At 42.6% G+C, this 15,396-nt stretch overlaps 1 protein-coding gene across 9 annotated transcripts in view, besides 2 other annotated features; it reads right to left on the bottom strand.

Moving 5' to 3' along the window:
• ITCH (itchy E3 ubiquitin protein ligase) overlaps positions 1-15,396 on the bottom strand; it is a 148,501-nt gene that overhangs the window by 130,198 nt on the left and 2,907 nt on the right. For 8 of the 9 annotated variants that reach the window (NM_001324197.2, NM_001324198.2, NM_001257137.3 and 5 more), the window contains exon 2: positions 12,106-12,182. The gene's annotated coding sequence lies outside the window, so the exon portion shown is untranslated. Of the gene's footprint in view, positions 1-8,849; positions 8,875-12,105; positions 12,183-15,396 lie in introns of those variants that run through there. The other variant, XM_024452005.2, reaches the window with a different exon arrangement.
• Positions 12,345-12,394: an enhancer, noted in NCBI's record as "active region_17764". NCBI's record gives its function as "activates an Ori minimal core promoter by ATAC-STARR-seq in GM12878 lymphoblastoid cells {active_cell/tissue: GM12878}" and the evidence as "EXISTENCE:reporter gene assay evidence [ECO:0000049][PMID:35858748]".
• Positions 12,425-12,474: an enhancer, noted in NCBI's record as "active region_17763". NCBI's record gives its function as "activates an Ori minimal core promoter by ATAC-STARR-seq in GM12878 lymphoblastoid cells {active_cell/tissue: GM12878}" and the evidence as "EXISTENCE:reporter gene assay evidence [ECO:0000049][PMID:35858748]".

Genomic DNA, 15,396 nt, shown 5'->3' with positions numbered 1-15,396 from the left:
GTGCGCCTGTAGTCCCAGCTACCCGGGAGTCTGAGGCAGGAGAATCACTTGAACCCAGGAGGCGGAGGTTGCGGTGAGCAGAGATCGCGCCATTGCACTCCAGCCTGGGCGACAAAGCAAGACTCCATCTCAAAAAAAAAAAAATTAGCCAGGCATGGTGGCACACACCTGTAGTCCCAGCAGGAGAATCACTTGATCCTGGGAGGTGGAGGCTGCAGTGAGCTGAGATTGCGCCACCACACTCCAGCCTGGGCAACAGAACAAGACTCCATCTCAAAAAACAAACAAACAAAAAAAACAGGCACACACCACCACGTCCAGATAGTTGTTTTTTTGTTTTGTTTCGTTTTGTAGACTTTGTTGGCCAGGCTGGTCTCCAACTCCTGGGCTCAAGCGATCCTCTCGCCTCAGCTTCCCAAACTGCTGGGATTACAGGCGCAAGCCACCATGCCTGGACTTAATGATGTCTTCTAAAGAGTTGAAATTTCAAACAGGCGCAGTGGCTCACACCGGTAATCCCAGCACTTCGAAAGGCTGAGGCAGGTAGATTACTTGAGACCAGGAGTTCAAGACCAGCCTGGCCAACATGGTGAAACTCCATCTCCACTAAAAATACAAAAATTACCCAGGTGCAGTGACACATACGTGTAATCCCAGCTACTCAGGAGGCTGAGGCAGGAGAATCTCCTGAACCCGGGAGGTGGAGATTACAGTGAGCCACGATTGTGCCACTGCACTCCAGCCTGGGTGACAGAGTGAGACTCTGTCTCAAAAATAAATTAAAAAAGGGTCAAAGTTTCTAATTTTGATTGCACTCAACTTCTTGGGCAGGGCCGGTGGCTCATGCCTGTAATCATAGCACCTTAGGAGGCAAAGGCAGGAAAATCACCTGAGCCCAGGAGTTTGACCAGCCTGGGCAACAATGCAAGACCCCATCTCTATTTTTGCAAAAAAAAAAAAAAAAAAAAAAGACATCATTAAGAAAATGGAAAGACAAGCAATAGGCTAGGAGATAAAATCTGCAAAACACATATCTGATAAAGGAGTTGTATCCAGAATTTACAATAAACTCTTACAACTGAGTAAGACAAACAACCCAAGCAAAGTGGATTACCTAAGGTCAGAACAGAAGATGTGGCCCAAAACTAGTATCTCTAGCATAGTTCAATGTTAATTTCATGATTTAAAATCACAGTTCACAGCAAAAAAGATAACAGGGAAATGAACAAAAAATATGTCATTGCTGTACTTGAGCCTATTCAGTCCTTCAAAAAATTACTAAAATATATAAAATGGAATATTACTCAGCATTTAAAAAGGAATAAAATTCTGACATATGGTACAACATGAAACCTGAAGACATTATGCTAAGTGAAATACACCAGACACAAAAGGACAAATATTGGCCAGGCGCAGTGGCTCACGGCTGTAATCCCAGCTGAGGAAGGTCAAGAGATTGAGACGATCCTGGTCAACATGGTGAAACCCTGTCTCTATTAAAAAATACAAAAATTAGCTGGGCGTGGTGGCACACACCTGTAGTTCCAGCTACTCGGGAGACTGAGGCAGGAGAATTGCTTGAACCTGGGAGGCGGAGGTTGCAGTGAGCCAACATCGCACCACTGCATTCCAGCTTGGTGACAGAGCGAGACTCTGTCTCAAAAAAAAAGGGGGGGGGGGGCCGGGTGCAGTGGTTCACGCCTGTAATCCCAGCACTTTGGGAGGCCAAGGCAGGCAGATCACGAGGTCAGGAGATTGAGACCATCCTGGCTAACACAGTGAAACCCTGTCTCTACTAAAAACACAAAAAGAAATTAGCCGGGAGTGGTGGCGGGTGCCTGTACTCCCAGCTACTTGGGAGGCTGAGGCAGGAGAATGGGGTGAACCCAGGAGGCGGAGGTTGCAGTGAGTCAAGATCGCACTACTGCACTCCAGCCTGGGTGACAGAGCGAGACTCCGTCTAAAAAAAAAAAAAAAAAAAGGACAAATATTGTATGACTCCACTTTTACGATGAGGTGCCTAGAATAGCTAAATTCACAGAGACAGAAAACAGAATAGTAGTTACCAGAGCAGGGAGGAGGTGAAATGGATAATTATTGTTTAATAGGTACAAGTTTCAGTTCTGGATGATGAAAAAGTTCTAGAGACCGATAGTGGTAATGGTCACATAACAAGGTAAATGTACTTAATGTCACTGAACTGAAGACTTAACAATATTTAAAATGGTAAACTGTATGTAATGTGTATTTTACCACAATAAAAATAAAACTAGGATATTTTCCTAATTTTCTTTGTCCCTTAGAGATGAAAACATCAATTTCTATATAAAATCAACCAGCCAGGCAGAATGAACACACCCCATTCTCCATTCCCTTCCAAAACCTCAGAAAAAAATGAAATAAAGGAATAAAAAAACATAAACCCCAAGGGCTAAAACAAAGGGAGAGAAGATGATAGTAGAGAGATGTAAGCAACATTCTGGGTAACGAAAAACAGCAGCAGCAGGGTTCTGCACATTTCAATATATACAGAATATAGTTTTTAATTAAGACCTATAGTAAATAGCTTTCCTCCAAAAAACTTAAGAACAGAAAAAAATAATCTGTGTGTTTGCTTCAGCAGCACATATACTAAAAAATTAGAACACAGAGATTAGTACATCCTCTGAGCAAAGATAAGGTTAAAATTCACCAAGTGTTCCATATTTTTAGATAAATAAATAAATAATCCAGACTCTCCTTTTGACTACTGACTTTCCACAGAAGCAAATGCAGTTAATCTCTCTCTCACATTATTTTCCTTCCCATTTCCAAAACAGCTATAATTAAATGAACCACCTAAAAATCTCTTTTAATTGCAGAACAAATGAATTCCAAAAACTAGGTTAGACCATCCTTCAAAAATAAAAGGAAAGTGCCTTTTTCATTAAATGAGATTTAGATTTAGCTCATTTGACCCTACTGCTGCATTTCTATGACAGGCAATTTTCTGTACTTTTTTAAAGGCCCAGTTCAGTATTTTTATTCATCCATGAGAAAAACTTTGCTATATCTCAGATATTCTTTTTTTTTTTTTACATCTTTTTTTTTTTTTTTTTTTTTTTGAGACAGAGTTTCGCTCATCGCCCAGGCTGGAGTACAATGGCGCAATCTCTGCTCACTGCAACCTCTGCCTCCTGGGTTCAGGAATTCTCCAGCCTCAGCCCACCGAGTATCTGGGATTATAGGTGCGCCACCACCCCACCCGGCTAATTTTTTGGTATTTTTAGTACAAATGGGGTTTCACCATGTTGGCCAGGCTGCTCTCGAACTCCTGACCTCAGGTGATCCTCCCGCCTTGGCCTCCCAAAGTGCTGGGATTACAGGCGTGAGCCACTGTGCCCGGCCTACATCTGTTTTTAATACAGATCTCAGATATTCTTAATACTCAGACTATACCTAACACACTATTCAGCTTACTTGCGAAAAAGACTATAGTCTCTAAAATAATGACATTTTGTATTTGGCCAAGAATGAGGAATAACTTCCCAGGTATGTTAAAAAAAAAAAAAAGTTTCATGAGAAGTATAAACAGAACAAAATCTAAATCTTATTTAGAAAATAACATCCTAAAAATCACTTTCTCAGGTTATGCTGAACATATTCTACCTTTCTACATTTATTGGTTTCTTCAGACATTCTGAATCATAATTTTTTTTTTTTTTTGAGACAGGGTCTCACTCTGTTGCCTAGGCTGGAGTACTGTGATACAATCACAGGTAAATCACTGCAGTCTTGACCTCCCGGGACCAGGTAATCCTCCCACCTCAGCCTCCTGGGTAGCTGGGACTACAGGTGCACACGCCACCATGCCCAACTAATTTTTTGTGTTTTTCGTAGAGACAGGGTTTCTCCATGTTGCCCAGGCTGGTCTTGAATACCTGGGCTCAAGCGATCTGCCCACCTTGGACTCTCAAAGTGCTGGGATTACAGGTGTAAGCCACCGCGCCCAGCCATATCAGTTATCTCAAGTTTCTGCAAGAAAATTCTACATCTTTCTAAGAGCAAGCCATTTGTCATTGTTTCCAAACCTTGGTAAATATGAAAATTCAATGTATAAACTAAGGTCTAATGAAATATACCAGAGGTTAACCGAGATAACCAAAAACCCCAAACAAGAAATGTGATGAGCAATTACACTACTTTGGTGGTTTTTTCTTTTTGAGACAGGGTCTCGCTCTGTCGCCCAGGCTGGAGTGCAGCAGTTCAATCTCGGCTCATTGCAACCTCCGCCTCCCTGTTTCCAGCAATACTCATGCCTCAGCCTCCCAAGTAGCTAGGACTACAGGAGTGTAACACCACACCCGGCTAATTTTTTATATTTTTAGTAGACACGAGGTTTCGCCCTGTTGGCCAGGCTGGTCTCAAACTCCAGCCTCAAGTGATCCGCCCACCTCAGCCTCGCAAAGTGCTGGGATTACAGGTGTGAGCCACCATGCCTGGCCTGGTTTTTCTTTCTATTCTACTTGTGCAAGCTGGGAAATCGTAAGAAAACGTATGTAATCCATCAACAAGGACACTGTTGGGACTGAGTAAGGGATAAAGCAAGATTCACAACATGAAAAGAGGAATATAGCCTGTACACAGTATCTTCCCATATCCCAGTTTGTACAAAAGTCAATAGAGAAAAAGCTTTCAAAATTGGCCCTCTTTAATGCAACCTTTTGTCTCTTATACAAGCTTTTCCCCCTTTATTTTCATTCCCACTGACACCTCCATAGCCTAGTCTCCCTGCCTCCAACCATAGTAAATACTACAGACCTCAATTTTGCCAAATAAATCTTCACAAAATACCATTTAATCCTATCAGCCAATAGGTCTCAAGGTTATTCAAAATAAGAGGCTTGACTCTTCTCAAATTTTCAAAACTTTTGCCTATTACCAGGCTCACACAAATCCTCTAAAATTAAACTCCACCCCCTGAAGTCCATTCCTGCCTCTGCACCTTGGCATATTCTGAATAACTAACTAACTTCCCTCCTTCTATCTGCCTTAATAATTATTCTACATACCTCTCATTCAGTACTAGACTGCTTTGAGGTATTGTTTGAACTGTTTTATTTATTTATTTATTTATGTATTTATTTTTGAGACACGGTCACACTCTGTTGCCCAGACTAGAGTGCAGTGACATATCAGTGACATGATATCAGTGCAGCGACATGAGCTCACTGCAGTCTCAACCTCCTGGGCTTAAGCGACCCTTGCACTTCAGCTGGGACAATAGGCGCACACCACCATCATGCCTGGCTGATTTTTATGAGGCTTTTTTGTAGAGACAGTGTTTCACCATGCTGCCGAGGCTGGTTAAATCTTTACGTGGGTAAGAACTTTCTTCTCAGAGGGCAGAAAACATGGGTTATGCTGCAGAAAGTCAAGCCCCAGATCAGAGGTTGTAAAGCAGCAAGCCACAAGACAAATTCTGCCCACAGTGGTAATTTGTTTGGCCCACAGTGTTTACACTATGAATTCATAAGTTGCCAACATTTAACAATAAAAATTTCTTACAAAATCTTGATTTCTAGCTTCTCCTTAGAAAAAAATTAAGATGTTCAGTCTGCACATGGTCTGCACTCTCCCCAAGGTCAATAGTAAGCCAACACTGAATTGTACACTTTAAAGTAGTGAATTTTGCCTCAATTTTTTTTTTAACCTTCTGAAAACTTTCCTTTTTAATTTTGAAAAATATAATGACGGGATCTCGCTATGTTGCTCAAGCTGGTCTCAAACTCCGAGGCTCAAGCAATCCTATCACCTTGGCCTCCCAAAGTGCTGGGATTATAGAAGTGAGCCACAGCAACTGGTAAAAAAAAAAAAAAAAAAAAAAAAAAAAAAAAAAATTTTAACTACCAATACATTGTGAGTGTATTCCCAAGACCTTAAGTAGTATTTTTAAATTATTTTAATTGACAAAAAAGGTATATATTTATCATGTAAAACAGGTTTTATTTATTTATTGAAATAAAATAAAGATGGGGTCTCACTATGTTATCCAGGCTGGTCTCAAACTCCTGGCCTCAAGAGATCCTCCTGCCTTAGCCTCTCAAAGTGCTGGGATTATGGCATGAGCCACCATGACCAGCCCATAACATGTTTTAAAATATGTACATGTTGTGGAATGGCTAAATCGAGCTAAATAACATATACATAACCTCACATACTTACTTTTACCTCCATTAAAAAAAAAAAAAAAAAAGGCCAGGTGCGGTGGCTCACGCCTGTAATCTCAGCATTTTGGGAGGCCGAGGCAGGCGGATCACCTGAGGTCGGAAGTTCCAGACCAGCCTGACCAACATGGAGAAACCTCGTCTCTGCTAAAAATACAAAATTAGCCAGGCGTGGTGGCACACACCTGTAAACCCAGCTACTTGGGAGGCTGAGGCAGGAGAATTGCTTGAACCCGGAAAGCGGAGGTTATGGTAAGCCAAGATTGCGCCATTGCACTCCAGCTGGGGCAACAAGAGCGAGATTCTGTCTCAAAAAAAAAAAAAAATCACGCCAGGCGTGGTGGCTGACACCTGTAATCCCAGCACTTTGGGAGGCCGAGGCGGGTGGATCACCTGAGGTCAGGAGTTCAACACCAGCCTGGCCAAAATGATGAAACCCTATCTCTACTAAAAATACAAAAAATTAGCCAGGCGTGGTGGAGAGCACCTGTAATTCCAGCTACTTGGGAGGCTGAGGCAGGAGAATTGCTTGAACCCGGGAGGCAGAGGTTGAGGTTGCAGTGAGCCAAGATCATGCCACTGCACTCCAGCCTGGGCAACAAAAGTGAAACTCTGTCTCAAAAAAAAAAAAAAAAAATTGTAAGCCAAAGCTGCTTTAACAGCTGCTCCCTTGGAGGGGAATGAATTCCCTAGTTCACTTAAAGTCCCAGTCTGATCTGTCATTACTTACTAAATGTTCATCCAGCCCTTGCAGGCATTTAAATTTACAATGCTCAGCCTAAATAGGTTTACTGAATGATTTATGAACTCAGATCATAACTTTAAGAAAGATAAGGTTGATGGTAATGATGATAATGAAAACAACGACTAACACTTCACACTGTGAGCCAAGTCTTGTTCAAGCAGAAACACATAATACCTATGTATATATGCTATTACTATTCCCAATTTACAGATGAGAAAACTAAGGCAAAAAGAAGTTAGGCAAGTTGGCCAAGATCATACCACCACTACACAGTAGAGTCAAAATTCAAAATCAACCTAACTCCAGTAAATACTGTTAACTCCTACAATATAATCCTTTAGACTAAAATCCTTTCCTTTGTGACCAACTAAATTTGATTATTTGGAAAAATAATCAAGACAAAATTGTAGAACCTACTCTTTCTTTGCACGAATGAAGGCCTAACAAGCAAATCAAAGTTCACCTAAATGCAGATGGTTATTTCTGGAGCTTATCTTGTCTTAAAAAAATAAAAAATAAAAAGTCCATCCTGGCCAACATGGTGAAACCTCGTCTCTACTAAAATACAAAAAATTAGCCAGGCGTGGTGGTGGGCACCTGTAGTCCCAGCTACATGGGAGGCTGAGGCAGGGGAATCGCTTTAACCTGGGAGACGGAGATTACAGTCAGCCAAGACTGTGCCACTGCACTCCAGCCTGGCGACAAAGCAAGACTGCATCTTAAAAAAAAATAAAAAAAAAAAATGTTCTCTTGTAACTGACAAAGAAAAGGTTGCAGAATCCAGTAAAATAATAAACATTTTCTCAGAAAGCAAGCAAGTTAGTAGATATTTCTGGAGTGAGTTAAGCTCAATATGTAGATGAATTCTTAACCTGTAAGTGACGACATAGTATTAAAATTCTTCTCTTTTCTGGGACAGAAGGATAGATCTATTAGGGTAAGCAATTTCCAGACATGGAAAAAAAAAATGCGAGTTGCTGGAGGGCAGAGATTGCTTTTTCACCATAAGTCCCTGCAATGTCTAGCATACAGCAGCACTTAAAATACATTCAATTATGTTAGGCCGAATGCCTATAATTCCAGCACTTTGGGAGGCCAAGGCAGGCGGATCACCTGAAGTCAGGAGTTTGAGACCAGCCTGGCCAATATGGTGAAACCCCATCTCTAGTAAAAATATAAAAATTAGCTGGCCATGGTGGCAGGGACCTGTAATCCCAGCTACCCAGGAGGCTGAGGCAGGAGAATGGCTTGAACCCAGGAAACGGAGGTTGCAGTGAGCCAAGATTACACCACTGCACTCCAGCCTGGGCGAGAACAAGACTCTGCCTCAAAAAAAAAAAAAAAATACATTTGGCCAGGTGCAGTGGCTTATGCCTGTAATCCAGAACTTTGGGAGGTCGAGGCAGGTGGATTATTTGAGGTCAGGAGTTCAAGATCAGCCTCACCAACACAGTGAAACCCTATCTCTAGTAAAAATACAAAATTAGCTGGGCGTGGTGGCACATGCCTATAATCCCAGCTACTTGGGAGACTCAGGCAGGAGAATCGCTTGAACCCAGTGGGTGGAGGCTGCAGTAAGCTGAGATTGCACCATTGCACTCCAGCCTCGGCAACAAGAGAAAAACTCCGTCTCAAAAAAAAAAAAAAAAGGAATACATTCAATCATGTTAAAGGAACCAAAAAATCTGAACTTAATTTCTTAAATTGCAATGCAATGAAACTCTTGTAACATTTACCAACTTCCTTTTTATAATAATCAATCACTGGCAAGGAAGTCTGTTTTCCTGACAAAATCCTTAAACCAGGAGTTTTATATTTGAGTACCCCTTGGAACCTAGCACAATAGCAGCTCAACAGATCCTTGTCAAATATTACAAACTTAAACTTTCTATACTTACGTTTCCTACAGGTCTCTCAGTGCCAATGTTTAAAGTAGAACTTAAAAGGCCGGGTACGGTGGCTCATGCCTGTAATCCCAGCACATTGAGAGGCTGAGGCAGGCAGATCACGAGGTCAGGAGATCGAGACCATCCTGGCTAGCACGGTGAAACCCCATCTCTACTAAAAATACAAAAAATTAGCCAGGCATGGTGGCGGGTGCCTGTAATCCCAGCTACTCAGGAGGCTGAGGCAGGAGAATTGCTTGAACCCGAGAGGCGGAGGTTGCAGTGAGCTGAGATTGCGCCACTGCACTCCAGCCTGGGTGACAGAGTTAGATTCCCTCTCAAAAAAAAAAAAAAGTAGAACTTAAAATAACATGGTTTCTCATTTATAAAGCATCAGACATTATGAAGCCTTTTTTTTTTTTTTTTGAGACAAAGTATCCCTCTGTCACTCTGTCGCCCAGGCTGGAGTGCAGTGGCGTGAACTCGGCTCACTGCAAGCTCCGCCTCCCAGGTTCACACCATTCTCCTGCCTCAGCCTCCCGAGTAGCTGGGACTACAGGCGCCCGCCACCACGCCCAGCTAATTTTTGTATTTTTAGTAGAGACGGGGTTTCACCATGTTAGTCAGGATGGTCTCGATCTTCTGACCTCGTGATCCGCCCGCCTCAGCCTCCCAAAGTGCTAGGATTACAGGGATGAGCCACCGCGGCCGGCCGAAGCCTTATTATAAGATATTTCTGATATCAGTCATATATTGTGATGTCAACAAAGCCATGAAAAATCAGTGAGTTAGCACATAAAGCACAGAATATAATAGAGTGAGCTGGAAAGAACCTGAGAAATCATATTCAAAACATTCAATAGATAAGTGAGGAAACCAGGCCCAGGGAGATTTAAGTGAGCTGCCCAAGATCACAGAATTTAAGTGACCAGTAATACCAATGGTAGAACGCAGGTTTCCTGAATGTTGGCTCAAATACCTTTCCACAAAGAACTGCTTTGTGAGCTTGAGATGAAATGGATATGCTGAGAAATATTTTAAAGATATTTTAAATACTTTAATAATACTTTTAAATATTTTTTAAATTGCTTTATAGTAGCTATCACAAATCATTCCACCATCTCCTTCCTTTCTCTTGATTATAAAAAAGAACAGGACCGGGCTCAGTGGCTCACGCCTATAATCCCAGCACTTTGGGAGGCAGAGGCGGGCAGATCACCTGAGGTCAGGAGTTCAAGAGCAGCCTGGCCAATGTGGTGAAACCCCGTCTCTACTGAAAATACAAAATTAGCCAGGTGTGGTGGGTGCACGCCTGGCCTCCCGAGTCCCAGCTACTCAGGAGGCTGAGACAAGAGAATCACTTGAACCCAGGGGGCAGAAGCTGCAGTGAGCCAAGATCGTGCCATTGCACTCTAGCCTGGGGAAGGCTCCATCTCAAAAAAAAAAAAAAAAAAAAAAAGAAGAAGTGATTTTATTTCCTTTGGATATATACCCAAAAGTGGCAATGCTGGATCATATTTTAGTTCTATTTTACCAGTATCTTCCTATTCAGTTTTTTTTTTTTTTTTTTTGAGACGGAGTCTGGCTCTGTTGCCCAGGCTGGAGTGCAGTGGTGTGATCTCGGCTCACTGCAAGCTCTGCCTCCCAGGTTCACACCATTCTCCTGCCTCAGCCTCCTGAGTAGCTGGGACTACAGGCGCCCGCCACCACACCCGGCTAATTTTTTGTACTTTTAGTAGAGACGGGGTTTCACCTTGTTAGCCAGGATGGTCTCGATCTCCTGACCTCGTGATCCACCCGCCTCGGCCTCCCAAAGTGCTGGAATTACAGGCGTGAGCCACCGCGCCCAGCCTCAGCTTTCTTATCTAACAATTCACCTGCTCAACTTCATTCACTCCCTATTCTCTTACTGCTTAACTTTATGTTCTACTTTTTTTTTCTTACCCAGTAGTCTTCCTTCTCTCCTGACCTTTTAAAGTGATCTGTCTTGTCCTCATGTTTTCCTTCACAATACTACTCTCAACTTCTCTCACCTTGTGGATCTAGATAACATTTCTTTTCTTTTTTTTTTTTTTGAGACAGACTCTCACTCTGTTGCCCAGGCTGGAGTATAGTGGCACGATCTTGGCTTACTGCAGTGTCCACCTCCTGGGTTCAAATGATTCTCCTGCCTCAGCCACCCAAGTAACTGGGAATACAGGCACATGACATCACACCCTGCTAATTTTTGTATTCTTAGTAGAGATGGAGTTTCACCATGTTGACCAGACTGGTTTCAAACTCCTGACCTCAAGTGATCCGCCCACCTTGGCCTCCCAAACAAAGTGCTGGGATTACAGGTATGAGCCACCGTGCCTGGCCAAGATAACATTTTAAGTCATGAATTCATTTCCTTTTCTAAAGATTTAATAGGTATTATTTTATTTGATCCACACAACAATGCCAGGGATGGAGACAGGAATCAATACTTACCTATTTTACAGATGTATAAACTGAGGTCTGGCAAGATTAAATAACTCGCCGAAAGTCACACAGCTTGTCAGTGGCAAAATCAAATCGGAACCCAGATCTTTTCTTTCCAAGTCCTCTATTCTTTCTGCACTGAACCATGTTGTCTTTTTTTTTTTTTTTTTCCGAGACAGGGTCTCACTCTGTCACCCAGGCTGGAGTGCAGTGGCGTGATCATGGCTTACTGCAGCCTCAACCTCCTGGCTCAAGTGATCCTCCCATGTCACCCTCCCAATCAGCTAGGATTACAGGTACACGCCACCACACCAGCTGATTTTTTTTTATTTTGTGTGGAGTCAGGGTCTCGCCATGTTGTCCAGGCTGGTCCCAAACTCTTGGGTTCAAGTGATCCTCCCACCTTCGCCCCACAAAGTGCTGGAATTACAGGCATGAGCCACTGCACCTGGCCATGTTGTCTTCTTTTTCATTACCCACCTCTTAATCCTACACATGCACATGTCTAGATAGTATACAGAGATAAACGTGTATAAAACAACACAAATAGAAAAAGTATGCATATGTATAAGGGATCTACAAAAACAGAAAAGTCAGAAAACCCAAATTAAGAGCACAGTGTGGCTCACAGGCTAATCCCTGCAGAGGCAGCTTTGGGTTTCAGAACCAAGTGAAGCTGCCTATATGTTCAACCAACTGATGCAGCTAGCATCAACACTGCTCTCTCCTCACAGCAGGTATAAGACCAGAGCTTGGCCTCTGCATCACTCTTGCCCCCAATTTCTCTCACAGGATGACACCATACCTGAAGTTCTCACAGTTTGAGTCACTTCCTTGGGTTAAGGCGTTGTCTCCACAAGGCCACCGTGAAATGCATGGTACCTGAGAAAGGAAGGAGAGTCCATTAACACATTACTTCTATATTTTTTTGTTTGTTTGTTTTTGAGATGGAGTCTTGCTCTGTCGCCAGGCTAGAGTGCAGTGGCATGATATTGGCTCACTCCAACCTTCGCCTCCTGGGTTCAAGCGATTCTTCTGCCTCAGCCTCCTGAGTAGCTGGGACTACACTACGGGCGTGCACCCCCACGCCTGGCTAACTTTCGTATTTTTAGTAGAGATGGGGTTTCACCATATTGGTCAGGCTGGTCTTGAACTCCTGACCTCGTGATCCACCCACCTCAGCCTCCCAAAGTGCTGGGATTACAGGCGTGAGCCACCACACCCAGCTGACCTCTATAGTTAAACACATCAGATCTGCAACGACCTTGCGACTCTAAAAGCACAAAGTCTCTTTTAAAAATTTCATGGGATAGACAATTTTTAATGGAGCAGACAGGACAAAAGAAAGAACTGAGGGAAAATGATTCATACGTATTATGGGAAGACACCAATCTGAGTATGACGGCTATCTGGCAAAATGAGGATGGCCATATAAATACACCAGCCTATAAGGGTCACCATAATGATAGTCCCTGCAACTTGGAGACTCCTAGGGACAGGAAAAGAAAACGCACACCAAGGATCTGGATATAGTCAGTTCTGAAAAGAAGCAAAAAAGCTGAGCTGGCAGCAGTTTTTCAAGGACAGTACACTGCTAGACTGGAGGAGGATAGAGGCAGGAACAGCTTCTGGTTAACTGCTTCTAGTTGTGAGGATAGTTTCCAACTTAACGTTTTTAGCTGAAAGCCAACCTCCCAACCAGAGAATGCTGCAATTCAATTCTGTGAACCCCCTAACTAATTTATATTGACTCAAAGCCAGTATCATTTACAGCCATAAAAGTCAACATGCCTTTACTGAGTGCTTATTATGAGCCCAGAATTTGGCTAAGTACTATAAATACAAAAAAAAAAACCTTACATACTTTTGTCTTAATTCTTATAAAGGAAACCAATGTCCAAAACCCAAAACAGAGACTTAGGCAACAAGAAAGAAAGTGGCAAAACAACAAAACAGATGACTATTTCCTATCAGTACTAACACGAATTTTTTTTTTTTTTTCTTTTGAGACAGAGTCTCATTCTTGTTGCCAGGCTGGAGTGCAGTGGCACAATCTCAGCTCACTGCAACCTCCGCCTCCCAGGTTCAAGTGGTTCTCCTGCCTCAGCCTCCCAAGTAGCTGGTACTACAGGTGCATGCCACCACACCCAGCTAATTTTTTGTATTTTAGTAGAGATGGGGGTTTCACCACGTTGGCCAGGATGATCTCGATCTCCTGACCTCGTGATCTGCCCGCTTCAGCCTCCCAAAATGCTGGGATTACAGGCATGAGCCACCGCGCCCGGCCCTAACACAAATTTCTTAAGACAGAATGAATATAACAAAACTTACTTCTAGGCCAAAATTCCTTGTTAAACTCTTGCCTAAACAGTCAAGACGCATAGGCTAAAAATCTCCCTTTTCTTTTTCTAGTCTAATACCAGAAGCTCTTCAGTAGTGCACATTGATCTTTGTAAACCAGAGAATACCAGTCCCAGAGTTGCAAAACCCAGTTCTAGTTCTAGTTCTTACTCTTAACTAGTTTCAGGTAAATTATTTAACCTTTAAAACAAACAAACAACAACAAAACAGAAAACTAAGAGATTGGACTTATCTAAGAATAGCATATATTTGGCACATGTCTACTACCTACTAGGTAACTGTCCACAGGAGACATCATTGATCAACCATAATACAATTTCTCAGAGCACCTACAACCAGAATCCTTCCAAACACAGTGCTTCTGGCAGCTTCCAATTAGAGCTGGCCAATAAACCAAAATATATTTGCCATTATGGACTAGATAATCTCTGTAACTTCTCCCAACTCTAAAACTCAATGAGCAAGTTTCTACAGGCTGAGAGAAAAACACTCCCAACAAGCCTAGATCAATACTTTTTAGAGGCATAAATTTCAGTCCAAACTCCAAGTTCTAAATTAGCCAGGCTTGGTGGCATGCACCTCTAATTCCAGCTACTTGGGAGGCAGCTACTTGGGAGGCTGAGGCACACGAATCGCTTGAACCCGGGAGGTGGAGGTTGCAGTGAGCCGAGATCACATCACTGCACTCCAGCCTGCATGGCCGAGCAAGACTCCATCTCAAAAATAGTAACAATAACAAACTTCAAGTTCTCTTCCAAATTACACCTGACATAGTTCTTTCTAATTTCTCAAAGATGCTAATGAACAATTCACTCTCATACTATACATAACATATATAACCTGGCAATATTATTCAGACTTGCTAATGGGTTCTTTTGACAGAAAAGGAGCCCTTTACCCAGATTAGCTCTAAAAAAAAATCCTCATCTAGAAATATGGCAACAATATTGCACTAGTAAAAAGCTAAATCCAATCCTTTGATCATCCCCACAACCTCTCTCCAAGGTCAGGCTTTGTCATTTCTCAACTAGACTTCTGCAATAGCTAGTCCCTCATCCTTTCGCTCATCACCAGAGCAATCTTTCTTTTTTTGTTTTTTGATACCTATCTTTGTCCTGCAGTACACAGCAATTTTCTAAAACACATATGTACTCACATCATTTCCCTGTCGAAAAATCTGCATCTATTTCTTTTTTTTTTCCTTCCTTTTGGTAAAGACGGGATATCACCATGTTGCCCAGGCTGGTCTCAAACTCCTGAGCTCAAGCGATTCACCCGCCTCAGCCTCCCAAACTGTTGAGATTACAGGTGTGAGGCACTGAGCCCAGCCCTGTATCTATTTCTACCAACATAAAATTCCAAATTTTTAGCATTATACTTAAAATTTTTAGCCAGAGCACAGTAGCTTACACCTGTAATCCCAACACTTTAGGAGGCCAAGGTGGGAGGACCACTTGAACACAGGAGTTAAGACCAGACTGGGCAACGTAAAGAGAACCTTTCTCTACAAAAAAATTTTAAAAATTAGCCAGGCATGCTAATGCATGCCTGTTGTCCCAGCTACTCAGGGAGGCTGGGGTGGGAAGATCACTTGAGCTCTGGAGGTCCTGTCACTGCACTCCATCCTGCGTGACTGGGTGAGACCCAGTCTCAACAACAAAAAATCACTTTTCATATACTTGCTTCCTTTAACCTTTCTGACCTTGCGTTTCAAAATGCTCTCCTTCCCCATTCC

The sequence above is a fragment of the Homo sapiens genome, chromosome 20 (genome assembly GCF_000001405.40).
Source record: "Homo sapiens chromosome 20, GRCh38.p14 Primary Assembly".
Taxonomy (NCBI): Eukaryota; Metazoa; Chordata; class Mammalia; order Primates; family Hominidae; genus Homo; species Homo sapiens.
Note: the sequence above shows the minus strand (reverse complement) of the source record. Positions and strands in the feature narration are given on the sequence as shown.